The sequence below is a fragment of the Homo sapiens genome, chromosome 3, assembly GCF_000001405.40.
Source record: "Homo sapiens chromosome 3, GRCh38.p14 Primary Assembly".
NCBI classification, from domain to species: Eukaryota; Metazoa; Chordata; class Mammalia; order Primates; family Hominidae; genus Homo; species Homo sapiens.
This window is the reverse complement of record NC_000003.12, coordinates 70,573,384-70,599,325: the sequence shown is the minus strand read 5'-3', so window position 1 is coordinate 70,599,325 and position 25,942 is coordinate 70,573,384. Positions and strand designations below refer to the sequence as shown.

The 25,942-nt window shown below is 34.7% G+C and overlaps 1 long non-coding RNA gene across 1 annotated transcript; it reads left to right on the top strand.

Moving 5' to 3' along the window:
- Window positions 1-866: 866 nt before the first annotated feature.
- Window positions 867-24,333, top strand: LOC105377152 (uncharacterized). Its single transcript, XR_001740559.2, has 5 exons — window positions 867-949; window positions 7,258-7,383; window positions 20,652-20,808; window positions 23,373-23,429; window positions 24,113-24,333. It is a non-coding gene; the product is annotated as an uncharacterized LOC105377152 (long non-coding RNA).
- The last annotated feature ends 1,609 nt before the right edge of the window (window positions 24,334-25,942 follow it).

Sequence of the window (25,942 nt, the reverse complement as noted above, 5' to 3'; positions counted from 1 at the left end):
TTCAACAAGCTAGGGAAGATGGCTCTGGTATGTGATGCGTATATATGTGTACACATATGTATATACATATATACAGATATAGACATATATACACAGACATATATATGTGTGTGTATATATGTATAAACACATACACATATATACACACACATATACACATACACATATGTGTGTATGTATGTACATAAGCATATGTACAGATATATATATGTGTATGTATATGTATGTACACATACATATACATGAGTGTGTGTGTATGTTATAAATTGATTGAAAAGAGCAGGGTATAGTATTTATATATGGTATAATTTCAAACATTTTAAATATGTCAAAAAAAACCTCCCCTCACCTAGAATTAACACACATAAAAATATTAACAGAGACTGTCTCTGAATATTAGCATTATGGGAACTTTATTTTCTATTTTTCCATATTTTTAAGATTTTCTATATTGTATATTTTTATAATCAGAAATTTAGAAAATTTAGAAATTGTCATCAGAATTACGATATCTAATCAGAGTGAGATAATATTACTCCATGTCTTAAATTTTTGGCCCACCTAAGAAAGGCAATGATAGCTGAATGACTCTGAAATGCACGTGCATTCAATGGCTTCCACACAATTGGCTCTATTCCTGACTGCCCATTACTCAACACACTCACAGAGCACACAGAATTTTCATGCTGGCATTGAGCTTTGTGATAGTCCAAAGAATCTTGCTTTCATGGAAGTCTTGGGAAATGCCAATACTTCTTTAAGAGTAAGTCTGGAAAACTTCCTAGTTTATACATCTTTGCATCTAATTTATAATGCAGAGGACACAATCTAATGGCAACTTACCAAGGAGGCTCTCTGCTTTCTTTCTTTCCTCCCCAAGGGAAGAAGTCTACCTAAGAGACTTGGGTGTTTTCAAGAGATAACGCCATTACAGTTTAAGCCCCTTAATGTAAGTTGTCCCTTTTTAGTCCTACCATATCATTCCTCAGGGGAAACAATACTTGCTGGCTATCACAACTGACATGACATTATATACAGTCAAAGAAAAAAGAGAAAGAGACAGAGACAGAGAGAAAAGTGGCACAGAAAGAGCCTTTTATCTAGTTGTGACATATATAAACAAGTACTCTGGAATAAATTTATGATATTCATTCTTTGATATTCACACAATTTTGATAATTCAATGTTGTGCATTTTATTTTTCTACTTTAGGTTTGAAGCAGAATAGAAATATGTCAGGATGTCTTCCAGAAATATAAAGATTACATTTAAATTATTTTACGGAAATTTATTTTATTTTGTAGAATATACAAATTCAAGAAAATAGTGGCACATTGGTTTTACTAAGAATGTCTCCAAGAAATCAGTTTAAGTGGTGAAATAGTTATAAGAAGTCTATTAAGAAGAATTGAAATTTTTTGTTTAGTACTACCAACCAATATAGTTCTATACCAATTGTAACACTAGAAAATGGGCCACATCAGCAAATGAAACACCAGATCTCTCTCTATTCAGACATTTCCACAATTTTTTTTCCCAACTAAAGAAATGGTGGTGACAAAAGGATAGGCTCTAGGGAAACAATGACTAAAGAAGTGGCCAAGTTGGGCTTCAGGAACAATGTTGACATAGCTACCAATACAAAGGAAATGTTTCCATTTTGGGTGGACTATGACAGATCATCAGAAATGAGGTTTCATAAAAAACTACCAATGTGAAAATGTAATTGGGTCTCTGAGAGTCAAATGAAATGCACGTGATAGAAAAAAATCATAAAACAAATGATACCAATAAAATGGTACTGGTAACTCCTCTCACTGCAGCTTTAAGGAAGTAGGAGAATTGAACAAAGTTTGAATCAGATATGTAAATGTTGCAGGAGTAAAAACTAGATGGTGGAAGTGGTAGACAGTGAAAAATTACGTAAAATTTTAAGTGAACTTGGAATGCAACAACAAGGTCTTCCTGATTTCCTATATTAAGTTTTTTTCCAAATGTTTCACTTAGGGGTTGCAAACCTTAAAACCAGTGGGGGGCTAGGTAGAAATGTAATGAGAGCAGAAAGCTATGGGAAACATGGTGAACTGGGGGGCTAAAGGGATGTCCTCCAACTAGAGGAACAGTCATTAGTTGCCTATAGCCAACTGTCACCATATGAAAGTGTAGCCCTTGCCTGATTTTCAAGGGAAACTGGAAACCAGAAATGTATATGAAATGTATTGATATTTAAAACAGTGGGTTGTGGCCCACAGTTTAGAACTTCTGACCCAAAGACAGAAAAGACACTTCTAAATATTATTTTAGTTATTTTTTAAAATGAGATAACTGTTACGGCAGAGTGTCCCTAATATATTGTTGAATGATAAAAGTCAGTTGCAATACAAAATATATTGAATAATTTTATCTTGTAAAGAACTGTTTACACAATTATGGGGGATGCAGAACACATTATTTATAGAGCTTTCCAATGGGAGTAGATAATACTTCCATATTTGTGTGTTGTTTGCTTTTTTTCAAGATACATTGCTTTGTGATTTACAAGTTTTATTGATTCTAAGATTTTTTTTCTTCCTTTCTCAAAATTGGGATTAGTCTTAAAATTACAGTTCATAGTTGTAGATAAAATAATGGTGCATTATAAAAATCAGCGCGTCTTAGATTCAATGAAATGTGATTTTTAGAAGTTGAAAGTAAAAAACTTAAAATTTATTTAACCTCACTTCTTAAGATATCTGATGCCTGAGGAAAATAATCTGGTACTTATATTCCTTAGACTTTCTTATCTATTTATAAAAAATATAAATATATTCAGATAGAAACTGAAAATTCAGTTACTCTGTTGGTTGACTACTCATCATGATGCCAAATTTCTCTTGACTGGAAAGCATCTGAATTATTTCATGTTTCATTTTAATGATGAAGGTTTCAAGCATCAAAACCCAAAATCTTCAAGTCACCCACACACAATCTCAGGAACAGATATTGGGATACTTAAAAATTCTTGCTTCTAAAGATGTTATGGACCCAAATTAAAGACTAAAATTTCAGAACCCAAAATTGCTCCAGAAAGCAAAAAGATCTTTATTGCAGGTTTCAGATTGGAGGTATAATGTTCTCCATATGGCTAACTGCATTGCAGAGCGGAGCAATTCCAGTCGGCACCAGCTGAAGCACCCATGGGTCTAGGGTCTGTAATGTTGCTAGGTGAAATTATGAAGAATCCCTAGGAAATACGTAATGAAAAATTTCTCCTCCCCCTGATATATGCCATTATGGCCTAGACCCTAAAGAAATTTCCAATAAAAGTCTATTACATTCTCTTTTCTTCATTAGTAACTGCAATAGATATATCACTGATATCAGGAGAGTTCAGGATAAACTTGCAATCAGGTATATTGTGAAAAGTATGACAACAGCCAATATTAAAATTTAACACACCCAGATGTAGTGATGTGATGTATTTTTTTATGCTATAGACCATGAAATTATAGAATCTCCCATAGTTCTGACATATTATTTCTCCTCTTAAATCATTATAATCACCAGTCTCATCTCATGTCCCAATCTCTAAATGATAATGGAAGCAGAATCACAGTATAATCAAGGAAGCTCTCAAGATTCATTTTCAGAAGAATATGATGCTCACCCTCACTAAGTAGAATTCTTCATTAATTAATAGTGTCATTGATAGCATTATGTTACCCACCACCAAGTTTCTGAAAATTTTACTTTATGGCAGCATAAAATCAGAATCTATGGAAAGTATTGTATGAATAAATAGTCATATTATAGTCACGCAGGAACAATCGTCTCTGAAGAGGCTCTTTAAAAATCCCTCAATCTTCCTTGTTTTCAGGAAATGGTTCTTTCTCCTGGGGACTGAATGTATGGGCTGATTTTTCCCTGCAGACCTTCACCAAATGCTGCTATGGAGGGGCTTATGGGAGAGACACATACACTCCATTTCACAAGAAGCATATTAGATGGATATCATCCTCTCTTTCCCCTGCATTCCCAAAAGGACTTTGGTAGTCCAGGATCTCATCAGCTCACTCCCTGATTGTGGCTTGAGTACCAATGAAACAATCTCATATACTGCTTAATTATAGAGCAAGAATGAAACTCAAATGTCTAGAACAGTGGTGACTGGTCATAGTAGGTACACAATAAGTGTGTGTTAAATTAATAAATTGTAGGCATTGTGAACATAATATGAGCAAGAGAGAGAGAGAGAAGAAAGAAAGCAAAAATCCTGTTGACCATCACTCATGCCACTCCATAAACTCTTCTTCCTTTGTAGGCACTATTTCCAATCCTGTGTACAATTGTGACTTATCTAATACACACACACACACACACACATCTGGATATATGTATACCTCATTCTATATCCTGTCTCCATTTTCATAACAAAAATGCCATCTTTCCAAGTCAGTGCACAGACATCTGCTTTGTTAACTACAATGGTTATATGCTAGTCTATAATATTTACATGATAACCTAATGATGGTCATAAAAGTTGACTTTAATGAAGCCTTATTGTACACAATGTTCTAAAGAACAAACTTGTACAATACAAAGTATTTGAGCTTTTGACGGGAGATGAGTTTACTTTCTTTTTCATTCCATCTTCATCAGCCCTCTTTGCTCCTCACTACTGCATATAAATTCTATCCCTCATGAAGCTTTCTCCTGATTGCTCCAGGACACAGTCATTCACAGTGAAGAAGAGTTTTCATTTTGGAGAGGGAATGTATTGTTGAAAACTGGATCTGCCTCTTCCTGCTTGTGTGGCCAAATCTTTTTAAGCCTTGATATCCCAATCTCATCATTTCGCTTGAGGACTGCAGTATTAACTGCCTATGAAGTGTTTAGCACAGTGCCTGGCTTGTAGAAATTCCCTACATTGAAGAGACTGATATTGTTGATGTAACTCTTACTTCAAAATGACTTTTTAGGTGACCTGATGACACTTTCATAGAGCAATAGCCCAGAATAAAGTAATTCCTTCATCAAATAGAAATGAATCCTGCCTGCCAACCAATAGTACCAAGGGATAATATACAGCCAACTGAATCTGCGTGACAATCCTGTGCTATACTTGAAACTCTATTAGCCATTATTACAAAATGAGTATATTTTATTTTGTTTTAGAGACAGAATCTTGCTCTGTCACCCAGGCTGGAGTGCAGTGGCATGATCTCAGCTCATTGCAACCTCTGCCTCCTGGGTTCAAGAGATTCTTGTGCCTCAGCCTCCCGAGTAGCTGGGATTATAGGCATGCGCCACCATGCCCAGCTAATTTTTGTATTTTTAACAGAGACGGGGTTTCTCCATGTTGGCCAGTCTGGCCTCAAGTGATCCACTTGCCTCAGCCTCCCAAAGTGCTGGGATAACAGATGTGAGCCACCCCACCTGGCAAAATGAGTACATTTTAGTTGCGTATTTTTCCCATATTTATTTACTTTTATCCTAATTCACAGTCCTGGAAACTGACGGTCATTTAGGATTTGAATTCATGTCTCTCTGACTTCAAACCATTACTTCTTATTACAATATTCAAATGCTAAACTGTTTTCTACTTTGTCAAGGAAATAAAGAAAGTAACATATGAACATCTGTAAAAAAATCCAAATATTATATTCACAGAAAGCGAAACGGATATGATGTTTCTAATATTTTAATTGAGATATGATTCACATACCATGCAATTTGCTTATTTGATTACTGGTATTAAACAAACTTTTCTGTTGAGTAGGTTAGTAACTGTATAGTACACTCATTCTTTAAACATAATTATTGATAGCCTTCTATGTGGCAGGCTCTGTTCTGGACCCTGGGGATAAGGTTAAATGCTATAAATCAGGGTTTGTCAACTTCAGCATTATTGCCTTTTTGGGCTAAAGAGCTATTTGTTGTGGAGTGTTAGCCCGCGCATTGCAGGATGTTGAACGGGACCTCTGACTCCTATCTGCTAGATGCCAGCACTCTCTTTACCCTAGTTGTGATAACCAACAATATCTGCAGACATTTTCAAATTTCTCTGAGGGGAAAAATGGCCCCTGTTGAAAACCACTGCTCTAAACCTTGTATTCAAGCTGCATACCCACTTGAGTGGGCTTGCTTATGATTACACTTTCCATACCTTGGTTTGATTTAAAGTTACATATGTATGTATTCTTGCATTTAGCACATTACTAAATGCAGCCTTGCACCTAGTCTGCGACTACTTAAATATTTGTTGACTCAAATAGTATTTAAGCTTTATAGTCAGTTCTTTATCAAGTGGTTCAAATTACAGATTTATTGCACAACTCAAAGTATACGTGTTAGGCAGTATATTCAAAGCCCATGATAATCTCAGAAGTGAGAAAAATTAAATTTCTTAATTTGTATAGTTTGTGTTGTATCCCACACCAGTGAATTTATTTATCAACTCACATTTTAAATATATGTATGAGGATGTGTCTAGGGAGGTTCCCTACTCAGCATTCATGCAAAGGAAACAACAAACAATTCAATAATTCAAAAAATAAAAGCTACTTTGTTGGGATAAATTTTCTTGTCCATATGCTGGATGGCACTGATTAAGGTCTGCCTGCTGGCATTGTTTAGACAGCTCAAAATTTAAGGTCATTTTGTGTCCTCTGCAATGTCATTCCTAGTTTTAAATTTTTGAATGGACACCAATTCACTTACATGGTCGAGCCCCCAGTCTTCAAAGCCCTCTGCTCCCTTTATTGGCCATATTTCATGCTTGCATTTCTCTTCTGACTGCACTCAAATGAGCAGAATGTGACCAGAAATGGTTGCTACATCCCTCTTTAACTCCAGACTGAATGATAAAAGCCAAGAAAGAAAACTCCCTTTAAAGTGTGGCCAAGGAAAACTACATTATTCGTTATTGGCTAGTTGGAAACGTCCCTGGTGGTATTTTGTACAACTGTTTGAGCGGATGGATAATCGCAAACTCAGTGCACAGGATTCCCACTTGACATACTTGATAATAATTCCTATCTGGAAATTACACAAGAACCATAATGAGATACCATTACCTAACAGCTACTTTCCTAAATGATTGCATTAGCGAGGTGTAAATCAATAAATGGTGATTAATGAGCTTATATTTCATTTGTGCTAATTCAGTGGTGCTCAATAAGATAAACTTCTGTTGCTTATACTAGTTAAAATAGAAACAGCCATAAAATATGCTTCTTATTCTCCTTTAACCAAGCTTCTCTTTTATGATTTGTCTAGTTGTCTGGGCTTTTGCTGTTGCAACTGGAAGAGGCAAAGAATAATGATTATTAAAAAGTAGGTATGTGCAATATTGAGATCATCCGGTGGTTCTTCATTGCAATCCAACAGGCAAAGGAGTAAGAAGTAAGAATGCTTAACTTTGTTGAGCACTTGCTATGTGCTAGGCCCTATGCAATGAGCTTTACATTGTCTATAGTTTTTAGTTCTCATAACAGTAATATGAGTACATGTGAAGGGCACTCAACTGCATTTGTCATTAAGGAAGAGAAAATTACAACCACAAGGCAATATCTCAACCTGTCAAGATGGCTAAAATAAAAAAGATGATAGCCTTCAGTGATAATAATATAGAATAATTGGGACTCTCATATACTGTTTGTGGGAGTGTAAATTGGTACAACCACACTGGAAAGCTGTTTGGCAGATCTCCTAAAGTTGAATCTACACATACTTTATGACTTACTAATTTCTTTCTGAAGTATATACCTAATGGACATGTTTACATTTATTTACTAAAGACATACATAAGAATATATAATAAAAATACATATGGCGAAATAGTTAAAATAGCTCCAAGCTAGAAATTAAATAAATACTTATCCACATAAAACAAGTAATAAATTATATTATATTTACAAAAGGGAATACTGTGCAGCAACGATAATGGACAAATTATAAGTACATGGAATAACAAGGTGATCCTCCCAGATGTAATAGTAAGAGAAAGAAGCCAGACAGAAAAGAGACCAAATTGTATACATGTAAATATCAAGTTAAAAATAGGCAAAACTGATCTGTGATGCTAGAAGTCATGAGAGTGGCAAATATTGGTGAGATGGTATTGATCAGAAGTGAGGAGAAGGAGACCTTTTGTTTCTTGATCTGTGTGCTATGTATATGAGAGTGTGTTCACTTTGTAAAAACTCATTGAGTTGCATATTTATAAACTATGCACCTTTCTGTATGCGCTATAATTCAGTAAAAACAGTTTGCTAAGACATTTTGAGGTATCAGGGACTATTATTTTCCTCCATTTTGATGCAGATATATAGGGTTGAAGAAGTTAAGTAACTTGGCTAAGGTCATGAAAGGAGAATTTGAATCTTGGCAGTCCGACCACAAATCCCTTGCTCTTAATGAGCAGTCTGGACACAAAACAAGTGAGGTTTAGTTTTGCTCCTGTCGTCTATTATTATCTTTTGCCTCTGATTACTCAGAGTTGAAGGAATGGTGAGAACTAAGCAGGTTCATTAAGGATCTTCCATGCTCAAAACTTCCGTTGAGTTTTCCCACTTGGTGAGGCCTGGGAAAATAACTGACTCTGACTGCAAGAGAATACATAGACACCAGAAGTATCACAAGCCGCTGTGTTTTCATTTGGTAAATAACATGTCCAGTGGTAAGTAACACATTTCCCTCCAGGTTTGATCCTGAGAAGAGAAATTTAAAGGTGAAGACCTGTACACAGGTATAGTTGAATGTCTTGGAATATGGAATAAAGAAGATAGGAATTGGAAGAGCTTCTAGTGAGATCAGTGTAATAGAAAATGAGCAGATCGTGAGGAGCCCTTCGGAGGACACTAGAGGTAGATAAGAGTAGGGAAATAAGGCCAGTTCCTTACTATTGCTGATGTAGGAAGCCACTATGGGCATTGCAGTGGGAACTAAGGTAATGATCCTTCAAGTGAACAAGAAAAAAGTCAATGGTGACACTGTCCTATGCTATTTTAATGGAGTAGTCATTGGGTAATGGCGTTGGGCAACTGCATGGACAACACACATTAAAAATGCAGATTCTTGGTCCTACTGTCAGTGGTCCCTGTCTGAAGTAAAACCCAATAATCTCAACATGTTCAATAATCTAATTTCGGTAATTCATGCACCTATGATGCTTTGGAAAACACTGGTTTAGTGAAGTGTTATCTGAAAAAAAAATCTACAGTGGGTTCTATTGCTTGTAACAGGTCCTGGAGGTAAAAGGGCAAGAGAAAAATAGAATGTCAGAAGGAGTTAATTCATTTCTCACGCAACACTTTTGCAGGTTAAATTTTAATCTAGTTTTAAATTGCTTTACAAATATGACTCTGATTAAAATATAAAGAAACCAAGAACAAAAGAAAGAATAAAATAAATTCCAAGTAATCCACGGTAGGCAAACCAAATTCATTTCTTAAGTACACTCTTTCACACACATACACACAATTTCTTAAGCCCTCTAGGCTTTCTAAAAATTTTAGCATGATGGATATCCTGAAGTTAATTGAAGAAATAATTTAAAATGAGTGTTGATATATTCTGGGAGGTGAAAAAAATGATAGCAACATCAATGTCTTAGAATTTCAAAATACAACATAAGCTTATACCTCTTATATGTTATACATATAGCAGTAGAAAATACCACTTTTTCCTCCATTATACTACTTATGATTAGTGTATGGTTATTTCTATACCCTGGGAAATTAGTATCTAATTCAAAATTTAATCTAACTTGATCCTATATAATTACTCTCGTACAAAAATTAAAAAGTGTTAATGTGTTTTAAAGAGTTCTGCCTTCCTGAATAAAGTTACTAGCTAACTAGATATAGAGTTGTATGTCTACAATTAAATTTTGGCCTGATTGTTAGCATATTTGTTGATGCCATCTTATATGACATAACCAGAGAATGTGCCATGCTATTATATTATAAATGATTTAGAAACATCTGTTCATATATAGTAACATAAACGGTATGAGAGCATATGTTAAAAATTTTAAAATTTGTCTCATGTTGCTTAGATTTTAAGGTTCTCAAAAATCTGGGTTGTGAACTTCAGCTTCTGTGTAGGGTATAGTAGGTTACTGCAGATGAATATTCCCACTGACAATTAGACAATTCCAGATACATTTCAAAAGTCATATTTTCATAGGCATCAAAAAGCAACAAAAATCAGATGAACTAAAATGCAAGAGAAAGGAGAACCAGTGAAAGGTGAGTTGATAAGCTGATGAGCAGTTCTTTCCCTGGAGGTATCTGTTATACTAGTAGGGCACAAGGATGAGATCTGGGTGCAAGCAGAAAGTCACTATAAAAAAAGACAAAAAGTAAAGATTTTAGTGAGCAAATGAACCCAGAATAATCAAATTTATTAAATTTGGAGATTTGAGGGCTCTCAAACAGACAGCCCATTTCTCCATAAATTGATGAGTCTAAGAATGTATGAGATGCCAAGGAAATCAACTAAAAGATCCTGAAAAGGAGAGTGAAAAATTCCACAATCTTGCAAACTTAGGAAACAAAAAGCTTCTAGAAGAGAAGGCCTGAAACAAATTGAGCAACAGATAAGAACCCTAAAAGGAGGCTTCTTATGGAACTGCTCATCAGCTCATTAACTCACCTCTTACTGGTTCTCCCTTCTCTTGCATTTTAATCTGACTGATTTTTGTTGCTTTCTGATAACTATAAAAACATGGCTTTTGAAATGTACTAGGATTTGTCTAATTGTCTTATGGAGTAAGAAGACAATTTTGCAGCTCACGTGATCTGGGGCTATGTACTGATTCTAGATACAACTGAAGCTGAAAACTAGAAAGATAACCTTGAGGGATATTTTGATATTTGTGTGGTCTGACAAAAGAAGGTTGAAAGCTCGAGGGCCTCCAATACATGACCTTAATACATTTACTAAGTTTTGAAGCTGCATGAGGCAAAAAGTCAAAGAGCCAAGCTGAACATTTTTACAGGGCAGAACTGAATCCTCCACAGAGATAGGTGGAAAAGCTATAGCCCAGTGCTAATCTAGTTCATTCCATAACTTCATTTAGCTAATCAACCCCTCACACTACCTGCTAAACAGAGGAAAGAGGAACTTTCTTTTGTGGAAGTGAACACCATTTAAAATTTCTACAGTTTTTAAACATATACAATGTCTCAAATACAGTTAAAAATGATTACACGTGAGAAAAGGAATGGCCATAAACAACAATGAAGAGAAAAAATGGACAATAGAAACAAGCCCACAGATAATCCATATACTGATATTAGCCAACCAAGTCTTTAACATAGCTCTGACTGATATGTTCGAGGAGAAAAAGACAAAGTAAGGAAAGGAAAATTTCAAAAGATATAGTTGAATCATAAACAATGACTTAATGGACAGTTTAGCACTAAAAATACAATATTTGAACTTAGGAACTCAGTGGATGAGTTTAAAAGCAAATGGGACATAGTTGAAAACAGGATTAGAAAACTGAAGACAAGTCAATAAAAGACACTCAGAATGAGACATAAGTAAAAATAATGGAACGGAAAAGTGCAGAAGAGGCATATAAAATGGTTAAAAGTTCTAGAATACATTGAATTGCCATCTTAGGAGAGAGGAGAGACAAAAGTTCCCAACAAATAAAAGATACCAACTCATATATTTGAGAAGCCTATTAGAGAACCCTAAAAAGATTTAAAAAGAAAATCCAATACATTTAAATTGTGAGAATGAGAATGGGACAGGATCACACTTTAGCCAGCTTTGTATCTTTCAACATTGTGGGGGCCAAGTGAAAAGATGCTTAACAAATCTTTTTTAAAGTAATTGCTTCCTGCATAGCCTCCTACCACCACCACTATATTGGCAAATGTTTCTGTAGGAATTACACAACATGATTAAACCTGTGAATCAATTATCTCCTAGAATTGTGGAATGCTCTTATGAAAAGGGACCTTAGGAATCCTTTAGTAAAATAGTTTTAAATCGAACTTGGCCAGTTCCCAGGACTTTGATTTTGCTCAATTGAAGAGGGCAATGGTAGGAAATAATGACACTGTGCAGGTGGGCTCTGGGGCACCCATTCCTGCCTTATTCAAAGTTACACTGTTCCTATCAATTTTACTGTTTGCTCTCATATTTTATTTGAAAAAAAAGTATTCTTCAGATGAAAAAGGGATTGTGGAATTATGAATCTACTGCACATTCCCCCCCCCCCCCTTATATTACAGACAATATAAGTGAGGCCTGAAGACACAGTGCGACCTTCTCAAGGTTACATTGCTAATTAAAGGCAGAACAGAGACCAGATTAAGTGTCTCTTGAATTCAGGTTCATGGCCTCTTCTAATACATCATGCTACTTCTCCTCATCTAAATATTTATGCAAAAAGAGGTATTTTTGCAACATAATCATTAAGAACATGGTATTTTCCACCATGATGTTATTTGAATTTTTTTTTTTTTTTCTGAGACAGAGTCTCACTCTGTTGCCCAGGCTGGAGTGCAGTGGTATGATCTCAGCTCACAGCAACCTCCACCTCCTGGGTTCAAGAATTCTCCTGCCTCAGCCTCCCAAACCATGTTGGCCAGGCTGGTCTCGAACTCCTGACCTCAAATGATTCACCCACTTTGACCTCCCAAAGTCCTGGGATTACAGGCATGAGTCACTGCGCCCAGCCTGAATATTTGTTTTGAACTCCTATAAACCCATTATCTTGCTCTAATAAACTAGACCTAGTTGAATATCATTGTTCCTTCCACACTTTTCCTTTATTTCCATAATCTCCACCTATTTTTTCTCCTCCCTATCTTATAATTGCTTGAATGATGTGGCCATAAGCTTGCACCATCAACGTATGATTATGCCCTTCTTGGGTCATGATACTACTTCCTGATCTCACTTTTAAGTTCAAGTCTAGCTCAAGACCCATTTATTCTAAACATTTTCTGAATAGCATCACAGAGTAGTCTCTTGTTACTTAAAATTTTCCAAGTAGTTAGCATACTTTTATATATTTGCCTTTGTATTATCTTAAAATTAATACCTATTTCAAAAAATTAATTAAATAAGCTCAACAAATACTTGAACAAAATTCAAAATATATAGAAGGATACAGAATGATAGGTAAGTTGCCATCTCAGCCCTGTACTCTAGGCTACAAATTCATCTGTTCGGAGAGTAAGGATTTTCTTTGTGCACTTCTAGTGATAGTTTATATATATGACAGCACATAAAGAAATATTTTGCCTTTTATACACACAAATGGGAGTATACTTTAACACTGTTCTGCAACTTGCTGTTTTCATTTAATAATATTCTTAGACATAATTCCTTATTTATACTCACAGAGTTGCTTCTTCTAATGGCTGCATAGTATTTCATTGTGTGAATGTGTTGAAATATATTTAACTTGTCTTTTATTAATGAACATTTAGGTTGTTTCCAATGTTTTTATATAGCAAGCAGTGCTGCAATGAATAACCTGCATTTTGCCCATAGATGAGAATGTCCTAGAAATGAAATTGTTATGGGCATTTTTGGATAGGTATTGCTAGAATGTCATCCAAGGAGGTTATAAAAGTCATGAAAGCATCCTTAAAATGCTTGTAACAATTTATACTCACACTGTTGCTAACAGGTTGGTTATAAAACTTTTTTTATTTTAACCAATATGCTAGGTGGAAATAGTATCACACTAACGTGCATTTATCTTATGATGAGTGTACATGAGCATTTTTTTCCAAACATGTGCTTGTTCTGTTTCCTGTTCTTTTATTCATTTTCCTATTACATTGTAAATATTCTTCCTATTGACTTATAGGAATATTATATCTATTAAAAATTAGTCGCTGTGATATAAGCAGAAAAAATATTTCTCAATTTGTTCTTTGTCCCTTGACATTTTGATATTATTTCGTCATGTGAATTGTTTTCACGTTTATGCAACAGAATTTATCATTTTTTAAATGGCCCCTGAGTTTTGATCATATGTAGAAATTTTCCACTCTCTGACTCTAAGATTACATAAATATTTTAAAAAGTCTATGCTTTCATTTAGTATTTTAATGATTTTATTTTGTAAGTTTTAGTTTGATCAATCTGGAATTTATTTTGCTGTAAGCTACGAGGTAGTGATACAGCTTTATTTTTTTCCAGATACTAGATGTGATTTTAAGGTTCTTTTTTTTCTCTTTTCATCAAGACTTTTCTATTAAGCTATAACTTAAGTTCAGAAACTTTACTATTTTTTCTTTTTTTTTTTTTTTTTTTTACAATTGGCATGGTACTGAGCATAAGGTTGGTTCTCAATAAATGTTTATTGAACTGAAATGACACAGACCACATAGTACTATAATGATCAGCATCAATGAAATACATGGATGTTAGATCAATTTCATCTTATAACTTGCTTTTTTCAAGTTCAAATAAACAATTTAATTGATTCCATTTTTTATTTCCAGTTAAAGTTGAAATACTTATTTTCCATAAACAATTTACTTTCTCAAACATGCTTATTATTATTTGCATTTGTTATTTTCTCATCGGCAATATATATTTTTAATAGAGAACTGTCTGTAACTTGCAAAAATTAGTCAAAAAAGAGAAATTCAATCCAGGACAATGCAAATCGCCTAAGTTCCCTTAGAAAAATTTAGGGAATATTTTTTGTCTCTATGCTTATGTTACTTTCTCAGTATCCTCTCCAATATGTCTGCTACAAAACAGGGAAAACCCTGTTTTGAAAAGCAAACTTTATCTATTAGATAAAGAATAAGGAAATCATAATAAATATATGCTTTAATTAGAAAAAATGGCTTCATGAGTTAAAAAGAGACAGTAGTGACCGTAAGTTACTAAAGTCCCTGGACAGCAGCCTCAACAGCCATCAATATTTTATGCATGTTTTATTTGCCTATTTATTCCACAGTTCAATAAAAATTACAGGTTGCTATGGAAACATGAAAAATCACAGATACTTGCTCTACTCAGAGGTATAGCATTTCACTTTCTTAATGAAACACACACATCATAAGGGCTTAAGCCTTGTATTTGGTCATAACTTTTGGAAAGTAAGATTTGTTATAGAATGATCAGTTAGTTACTTTTGGTATTTGCACTGATTTAGCAAAAGTGCTAGAAGTATTACATGAAAAATAAAACATAAAAAAGCATAGATCTAGAATAAGGTGAGTAACATCTCTGTCTTCCTAACAGTATGAAGATATTCATTTATACTTTGAAGAATAGCATCTAGAATAAGACCTAGCTGTGGGTAACATAAGATTCTAATAAAAAGGGAAAAGACCGACTACTCGCTTTCTTTAGTAGAGGGGGCCAGAAGGGTTGATTTCATGAAACATAAAGCCCCACCTTCCTTGAGCAGACATGTTTGGACTCTGCTGTGTTTTTCAGAATCCGTTCCAAGGGAACAAAAAATTCCACACCAAGATTTCCTGGTGCCCGCCACTGGTGCAAACATTACCTAGTGATGTCTGCACAAGTGTCAGAGAGGTGGAGAAATCCTTCAAATCTGTTAAATGTGGAATAAAGAGGAGAATAACTTGAATTAAATTTCTGTCCCCACTTGAAATAGACTCTGACTGTGCCTCTGTACCTGGCCCTGATTTTTGCATGAAAATATTCCTTTTGTCCCTATCTGGTGCTAGCCTTCAAAAAGGAATAGGGTTTAAAAAGCAGGAAATAATGTGAGATTTTAAGCAAACAGTTCAATATTCTTTTAGAATGCTCTCTGTATTCAAAAGCACTTTGATTTATATCTTTAGGAGTCTTTGAAACTGTACCTCTTTTAAAAGACCATCCCTGATTTTGGGTCTTTGTTCCTTTATGAGCTTTGTCCCTGATTTCTAATATAGAGACCCGACAGGCATGTTGTTAAAGGAAGGAAAAATAATTTTTACAAAGCCTGGCAAACTGTGTTAAATATGCTTTTGAAAATTAAGTTTAATATAAAGTTCAGTATAACCATCACCATTGAAAGTATTGTCTGTGCTAAATAACTCTTCCAATAAAAATATCCTTTGTTTTCCTGTAATGTAATTAAAAGTGAACCCAAAAGGGCAGCAATAAATCAAGGTGCACAAAAGCAGAAAAATATTATAATTAATATTTAACATAAGTTTTGATTGCTTTTAGAGTAAGTATTAAAAATATCAATTAGAATATATATTCAAAGTTTTCTTCCTTTCCCATTACACAGTGGAAGGGGCTATTTTTAATTCTGGATACTACACACCAAATAATACATAGCCCCTAATTAAATAAAAGGCTGCAATTGAATTGAGAGTTTCTGCTGATGTCATACATAATGAGAGCACAGCTCCAGCTATGAATGAATGGCAGCCGAACCCTGAGAATGAATTACAATGTTAGCATTCAATCAGAGACTAGGTATTGTTATTTGTAATAGATGTAAAATGATTATTATTATTTTTAAATACAGACAAAGGAAAGAAAATTTGAATTCAAAAATCTGAGACTAGGAGGCAAAAAGATTAGAAAGTATGTGATTAAAGTGAATACACTGTATTGGAAAATGAAATGTACAAATTTACCAGTGAATAATTGCTTTATATATTATATGTAGATAAATAGCTAGGTATAACCATATCCATATCTATGTGGGAATAGATGTGTGTGGAAAGCCTCTAAAGAGAATTAGACTTTCAGTTTGCAGGCATTTATTTAAAAATATTAAAAAGGAACTTATGATATAATGAAAGGGTAAAATGGTATATATTTAACTTATCTAAGATCTGCACAAAGTGCTATGATTTACACCTCTATCAGAATATATCAAAGACTTTCTTTCAGAATCTTATTTTCAGAGACAGATTTTAATCTCTGCGTATGATGAATTAAGTATGTAAATCTAATATAGCTAATTATTTATTGTGGTTGAGTATTGACAATATGCTTTACTCAGTATAAGGTATGGAAAATAATATGTTTTCTGCCCTAAATGCTTTAAAGCTAAAGTAGACAACGTCTTCACTGCTTTCCTTTTTTCCCCAATTCCTACTTTCTATGTCAGATTATCACTAGAACACAGGTGTTTGAGAAGTAATTCCTAGTACTCATCTTTTCTTCCCCAAAACTTTTACTGGCCACTCCTCCTGTCTTATTGCCATGTGGGAAAAAATATCTTCAGTATAAGATATATTTAACTCTAGAACAAAAGTATGGACATTACATTTAAAGCACCAAGACAGACATAAAGTCTGGAAGTTTTGAGGGAAACTGGTTGGCAGAATAGAAGTTTTGAGACAATTTTAGAAAATAATTAATTAATTAATTAATTAAAAGATTAGGATGCTGTTTGGTCAACATGAGGAAAAGTAACACAACGAAAAGGTAATATATGGAAAAATTCCTTTAGTTCTGTAGAACTAGTGTTTCCAGATTGTGATATTCATTATTTGAAAATATTACTAGGGTAACAACTTGGCTTACTAGGATTCAGTTACTTGTCAATATCACCAGTATAGAACATACAAATTAGGACATAAGCAAAGTTTCCTGAATAGTCAATTTCTCTACTATAAGTCAGTAACATTCATGCCATATGTTCTCAAAGTTTAATATGTAAGAAATCACCTTTAGTAGCTGTTGAGAGCATACACTCAAGACTTTGGCACTCTTCTTAGTTGTGTGACCTTGGAAAATTTCCCTACCCTTCTCTGTTTCAGTGTCTGTAAAGTGGAGATTTTAATACCCACCTCTAGCATGGTAAGTTTAAATTAGTTAATATATGTGGAAGCTTAGAGCAGTGCCTAGTCTGTTCATATTAATCATTAAATAGGTGTTGTGTTAATACTGTTATGTTAATAATATAAATAGGTTAATATGTGTCAATTATGTTAATATTAAATAAGTGCTGAGGAAAGGAAGTGGTATCCCATTGATTTATCTCCAGTCCTTTTTATTAAAAAAAAAAACCTTATTTCAAAATAATTTCAGACTTACAAAATTATTGCAAAAAGTGTAGAAAATTTTCCCTCATTCTGTGTCTGTTAACAATAATATCTTATATAACCACAACACAATTATCAAATCAGGAAATTAACATCATACAATGTTATTAACCAAACTAGAGGCCCTTTTCACATTTTACCAATTGTCTCTGATTAATGTCCTTTCTTCTTACCCAGGATTCCACATTGCATTTGTTTATCATGTCTTCTTAGTGTCCTCCAATCTGGGACAATTCTCTAGGCTGTCTTTGTCTTTCATGACCGACATTTTTGAAGAGTATTGGTTAGTTATTTTGTAGAATGTCTCTGTATTAGTTTCATATCACTGCTGCAACAAATTACTATAAATTTAGTGGTTTAAAACAACATAAATTTCTTCTTTTACTGTTATAGAAGTCAGAAGTCCAAAATAAGTCTTATGGAGGTTAAAATCAAGGTGTCAGCAGGGCTGAGTTCTTTTCCAAAGCTCTAGGGGAGAATCTATTTCTCATCTTTTCCAGCATCTAGAAGGTGCCCACATTCCTCGGCTTGTGGCTCCATGTCCCTGTAACCTCTCCTTCTGTCATCACATCTCCATCTCTGACTCTGACCTGATACCTCCCTTTGATAAGGATCCTTGTGATGATATTGGGCTAAGTGCGTTAATCAAGCAAAATCTTCCCATCTCAAGATCCTTTACATAATTATACCTGAAAAGCCCCTTTGCCCTGTAAAGTAACATATTCACAGTTTTCAGGAATCAGCATGTAGGCATCTTTAGGGGACCATGATTCTACCTACCACAGTATCAATTTGAATTTGTCTGACATTTCCTCATATTTGAGTACAAGGTATACATTTTTTTTGGGTGTAACAACAGAAGTGATATTGTACCCCTCTCAGATCATTATGCTGCTTTGCTTTTTTTTTTAAGATACAAACAAGAAAGATTTACAATCCTTGAACCCACAATTCTAAAATTGGAAAAGCTCTGAAAATCCAATTTTTTCTCTCTGCAAATTCAGCACAAACTCATTTGGCAGCAAAACCTGACCTGAGCCAACACAAGTCCACTTATACTTTTTATTTATTTTACTTAGTGGGAATAGTCATATGTTTTCCGGCAGAGTTACGTGTTTGATCATGAGGTGTTGCCCGCAACTGTACTGAGGGAGGTTGGGGGGATACATTATGTAATGTACACTTCTTCCACTAAAGTACTTCTGTAAATCTGAAGAATCCTGAAACATATTAGCTCAAGGGTTTCATATGCAGGACTGTGGACCTATATATTTGAGCACAATTTAAAGAAGATCTTTGTTGAATAGAAAGTATATCACATAATTCCATTACTTAAAATGCTAACTTGTCCACTTGAAAAATGCAACAACAAATTAATACATATATGATGTTCAAATGGTATGAACTAAGTGAATTGCTAAATTAACTGTTATGGGCATTCTTTGACACTGAAAAAGTGAGTATTGCCTCAAGAAAATGTACCAAGTTCTAAGAGCTATCTTGTGTCTTTTACATATTTTTTCTAAACGAAACCACCAAGTCACTAAAATATCTTTAAAAATATTCTATTTTGGAAAAAAATATATAAATATATAAGACAACTGTGACTGATATAATATCGCTTATAGAACATGCCATAATTCAGTTTTGTAAATTTTTAATTATAATTTTTAAATTTTCATTTATTTTGTTTTCATTACTAATTGGACTCAGCAAATATGATTGACGAAAAGTAAATCATGTATTTAATCTTCTTCTAAGCTTACTTTTAAATTTATGGAGGAGTCAATAATTTCAATTTTATTAATCTCAAAATGCACCTTTGAAGATCAAAGGCAATTTTATAGAAAACATTAAAAAATTACAAGACCATGTCAGGCACATTGGCTCATGCCCGAAATGAGAGGCTGAGGCAGGAGGATCCCTTGCAGCCAGGATTTTGAGAACAGCCTCAGCAATATGGTGAGACTCTGTATCTACAAAAAATTAAAAAATTAGCTGGGTGTGGTGGCACGTGCCTATAGTCCCAGATACTCGGAGGCTGAAGCAGGAGGATCACTTGAGCCTGGGAGGTTGAAGCTGCAGTGAGCAGTGCTTGCACCACTGTACTCCAGTCTGGGTGATGAAGTGAGACTCCGTCTCAGAAATTTAAAAAAAGAAAAAAATCATAAAACCATACTGAAAAAAATACATTTTGCAGAAAATACTAATATCAGCCATGTTTCTCCAAGAAGCAGTGCCTTCTTTTCATAGAATATAGTATTTCAGGACTGTATTGCTACTCATTGTTCCTAGATCTTTCCAGTAGAGCTAAAAAATAAATTCTATTTATACACACAGCTGTACCCATATAGAATATTATATATTAAAATATTATTATGACAATATATAATATTTTATAGTATATAAAATATATTATCCTCAAATATATAATTCATTCTCTCTCTATGAGTTATTATATATTTAAATATTATACTTAAGTATTAATAAAATATTAAGTATATACTCTATATAGAGACAAAGAGAATAACTATACTCGATGTTTTTTATACATATAAAAGATAGAATGCCTCATGAGTTCATATTCATGATTTCCATTTCTAATCTAGGGCTATAGACTTTCTTAACTTTTGGTCTATTACTTCTTACATGCAGAGAATCCTGGAATCTTAATTCTGGTTCTCAAGGACACGGGAATGATAGAATTGGAATATTCCATAATTACTCATTTGCTTTACCCCACATTGCAAATGCCACTGTCACAGAAGAACAATACTAATACTACCACCACCAATTATAGTCACAGAAACAGGTAAGTAGTTTTTTGCAAAAACTCTCCCATTCTTCTTCCATTTCTTTAGAGTTGTACTATGTCTACATTGTTATAGCATGTCATTTTAGTTCTACAAGTACATATACACGTATTCAAAAGAGTCTTCTGTTGATGTCTCCCTGGTCATTCTGGTTGTCAGAAACTGGTTGTCTGGCTGCTGTACAGATGTCTGTAACAGACAGATCTGGTGGTTTTTGTTGTTTTGTCCTCATCTTCCTACATTTTGGGGCTTGTGTTGTTACATTGTCACTTAGGCTTATTGTGAATACTGTCTGTAGGGTTCTGGTTTTGCTGTCTAGTTGCTATGTTGTTTCTATATGGGAGTTGGGGAAGATTTCAAAACCACACTGCCCTTACAATGGACATCTTCAAATTCTGGCCTTGGTGTTTATGATGCATTATTTCATTTAATCTTTACAACAAACCAAGTAACCAGTCTTAATGCCCCTACTTTACAAACATGAAAATTGAGGTCTCAAATGTGATAAGTACTGATCTAAGATCAAATAGCTAATTGCTAATGGAAAAACTATTTGAGCACAGGTCTATCTTATTCTGTAGTCCATACTCTTAGCTCCTATCCTGCACTGCAATAGTTTCATACATGACATAAACATTGTCTTATTATCAGATAGTCTAGGGCCTTACAGCTTTTGAATCGGCTAAACTTTTCAAAGAAATGTTTCAATGCACTCTCCAAGTTGCAATAATCTTATAACACTATATATATAATTGTACGCATACACTATTTTCTTTCAGAACTTTTTTGTAATCACTAAAGCAATTTCCATTGGATTATTTTTTAAAACTCCTTCATGAATGTTTTATGTTACCAGAAAATAGACTGCTTTCAGAAAGCCTGTACTCGATACTAATAGAAAGTATCATTTGTGGACAGAGAACAAGATAAATGGTCAGAATTCCTAGGTTTCATTCTTGATTCTGTCATCAGCATACGGTGTGGCCTCCTGAAAGCCCATTTAGTCATATGATTATAGGCTCCTTCAACACTGACGTTAATTCACTCCCGCAAAGTTAGTCTCTGGTATCTAATGTCTTTCGACATCATCTTGAGACAATAGTTGGAGCAAATATGATAAGGGGTACATAATGGATTATGTATCGATGACATAAAGGAGGCATGCATAATAAGCAGTGGAAAATAAATTCTAAGGAAGTATGACAATAAAGGGATTGTTTCGTTCCCTTCAAGAAGAAAGAAAAAAGGCATTTTTATCTTCAAAACTCCATTCATAGACAAGAGTTTCATCAATGAACTAATTTCTCGGATAATTTTGGTTGGAATCTGAGATGGATTTTTATGCATGAGAAATTTTCATGGAAAATACCCTGTTTGCAACTTCAAATTTATGGTTTGGCAACAAGAGTGTGAAAAAAAAAACAAACCAAGGTTACAGAGGAGGAACTGATTTTAAATATATGTCTATAATATATAGATACTTTGCTCCTTAGGAGCTGAGCAGTGGACTAAATGTTAAAAGCTAAAACTGTAGAAAAGGCCAGGGAACAGTGGGGATGCTCAAGCATTTTGCCTTCAAAGTCTTGAATTTTCATGGAGCTGTTCTGTATACGTGTAATGACAATAAAAGGTAAATTCATGCTCTGAAATCTTCCTCTTCTCCCCCTCACCCACCTCAGAAACATGTTTCTTAAAGCCTGTGTTTTAGAATTACTATTCAAAATTCCTTCATTAATAACATCTGTCTGTGCCCAGTTATATAGAATAAGGAGACAAATCAATCTCTCTGGTTTAGATTCTTTCAAAGTGACCTAAAACCTTTATCACACTAAGGTTTTCCCCAGGTACACATGGGGAGCAGATGTGGAATAAGAGATAGCCAACAGGTGCAACGCCTAAGAGAAAGCAAAGGGCTCAGAGATCATTTGAACTCCGCCTTATAACGCAGCCTGTCAGATGAACTAGCCATCCTTGACTTTTTGTCTTCATTGCGAGCTCACAGTCCAGAAAACATCCCACCTAACAAGATGAAAGTTTTAAAGTGTTTTTATTCTAAGTATATGAGAGGAAAAAATAGTAATAGAATCACTTCACTTCATGAATATGGCAAGCCATGTTAATTCATTATAATTTGAGGCTAATTATGTGTGGATGACACTGAATAGCAGTAATTATTTTAGATCCAAATCACAGTGTCTTCAAGCTAGAAGACAGCTAGGGAGAACAAAGCCTATACTAAGATTTCTAACTGGCTCATACAGACAGTTCAGTGTTCCTCTGAGACAACTTTTCAGTGTCTAAAAGTTTAGATGCTCCTGGGTTGTAGTGTGGTGGGGATTAGGTGGGAGAACAAGAGAATATCTTGACCTCTTCCTCATTAAAAAAAAAAAAAAAATTGGTCCCATCCTTCTGTACCTTGACATTTCTTATCTTCATTTCTTTCCTTAATATCACGTAGAAAATGCTTGCATCTTAACCACTTGATTGTTGCAGTTTAACATTTCTAGGCAGTGTTACAAATAAGTACATCTCAACTTTAGTTATGTAATCTCATTAAATTTAGAACCAACGTGTCACATGGAAGAAAATGAGCAGAACAAGACCACAGGATACTAGAGAGGTACCTGTTGATGAAATGTGAGCTTGGGTAGAACTTTGAACATTGTATCTGCTTAGAAAGCAGCTAGATGGGTATTATGAAGTTCCCAGGAGCCAAATATTCAACAGAATGATAAAAGATGACACAAAATAAGGAGAGGAAGAGTAAAATCATTTCTTCTAGAGCTGGCTGTTGTTTGTAAAATCGAGTATTCGCCACTAAAATTCCGATGTAATATTTCCATAGGAGATATAATATTTCCATAGGAGATGCAGCTTTCTTTCCACTGGGACATTGCCCCTTATCCACATTGCTGTGTCACTGTGGGATTAATGGTTATGAATTACTGAAATAGACACACCATACTTGGTGACATCTTTAGCCATATAAAGGAGTCACAGTCATATATGAAAAAGTTCCTCCCCTTAAGAAGTTTGCAATATAATAGTAAAATAAGGCCAGTTTATTAACCTAAATTATCATGCAAACCAAACGTCAAGTGTCTTAAACGTAAGATAAAACAAAATCATATGGAAGCTGAGAGGTGAAGATTAAGTCTACTGCGAGCATTTTTCCTCTCAGTGGCCTGGAGGGATATTATTTACTCAGAACGGCACTTAATTCCATGTTATTCTATGTTGCTAATGTGAAAGAGAGGCAAAACATAATGACTCTCCCCTATTTCTCTTTCTTTGCCTTGAAAGGTATATTCTTTGTACTGTGCAGCTCCAGAGATCTTTCTGTGTTGATCTGAATTTAATGGTGGAAATGTGGAGTGAAAGACAGAAGAGATGTCTGGGGGCAAAATGCCCTACAAAAGGAAAAGCATAGAGATCCACATGGAAAGTGTTGCTAAATGGTCTATATTTTGCTCTCTAGAACTTCTCATTTCCTGTTCCAGATTGGGAACACTGGGACACACAGTTTACTATTCTAATACATATCTCTTGCTCCCAATGGTTCGGTGTCAGATTTCTGTTGCTTTTGAGACTGACAGCATGGAACACAGGGCATTTAGGTGGGTGAAAGCCTAGATTAAGTGGATTTTTAATATCTTGATGGCATTGGATGTTCAGAGTTAGAAGAGTCTTTGGAAAGTGTAACTACTGCAGCCTTTTTCAATTTTTTCTGCAGAGTCCTAGTGTCTAAGGCAGATTATGAGTAGGTGGGTGGAGACATAAGGAGGAGGTTATGTTATGTGGGTTGGACTCTGGGATCCTGCCCTCAGTTCTACCAGAGCTTATGAATTTGGTTTTATCTGTTTTATATACTAGGGTTCCAGATAAGATAATTGAAAATAAAGGCACTATGGCTAAAAAGGAAATATTTTAATACTATCAAGTTCAACCAGAGAAGTCATAGAGGTTGAGTGAGCTGAGACTCGATCTCACAGTTAGTTCCCTTTTGACTGCCCATGACTGCTCTTTCATGTGCATCCTCAAATAAGAAGGTGAGCTGCCTGAAGATATGTAGGGAATTAAACTACGTTCAAATGATCAGCTCTGGATTCATTGGTTATGTTTAATAGTAGCATCCCTGTTATCACCAAGTGCTATGTTTTCTGTGTGTTTGACTACAGCAAAGGGCTATACACATATTTGCTGAATCATATGGAGAGTGTTTGTGCATCCATACCTGACTAATTAAATGCAAAATTTTATTCTTCTCTTGCAAGGATGAACCTCCTTGCAATGGGGCTGCACCTTTAACCGTTGAATAACTGCTTCTGCCTTTTCATCAAGAGGTCTCTGAAGGACTGCCAGCCATTTCAGAGGAAAGCCACATTTGCCTTCTTTACTGGAGTACTGAGTCTTGGAACAACAAGATCCATTTTTGTCAGATACCTCATGATTCCCTATCACAGAGAAATACAGTATGATCCCTGACCTCATCAACAAGAATGCTGCACCAGCTAGAGAGAAAAAGACAGGGTAGAGAAGAGTAGTATTGGTAAAAGAGATGAAAATGGGAGCAGTGATTAGCTTGTTCCTAAGACACAATCTCAGAGATAAAACCTTAATGTTCAGTCCTTATCTACTGTTCCTTTAAACGGTATCCTTAGATATGGCCACCAAGAACACCCATTCAAAATAATCTGGTAATCTGTTTAGGTTTGGTGAATTACAATCCCAACAACACCAACAATCAGTATCCTGAGAGGCTGACAGGGTTCCTGACAGTGTTCTAAGCATTTCATTTTCATTTTCTCTTGGGTGTCATGTAGCAGAAAATAACCAGGTATCATCCATTTCTCTTCAAGCTTTCCATTTAGGTGAAGAGAATAAAATAAATACAAGGGTAGTTCTATGACAAAATAGTCCATAGATCTTGGAAAAACCATAGCCCACAGAAATGAAGAGGTTTGTGTTAGCATCCATGAAATTAACAAGTTTGAAGAAAGGACCACCGCACTGAAGAGCAGAATTCATAGTGTCACAAAATAGGTCGTGACATACCATTCCCTCTGTTCCCTTAAAAATGCCAGCTTCTCCATCAAGTCACAATTTTATCAAGCATTCATTGTACTTTAAATT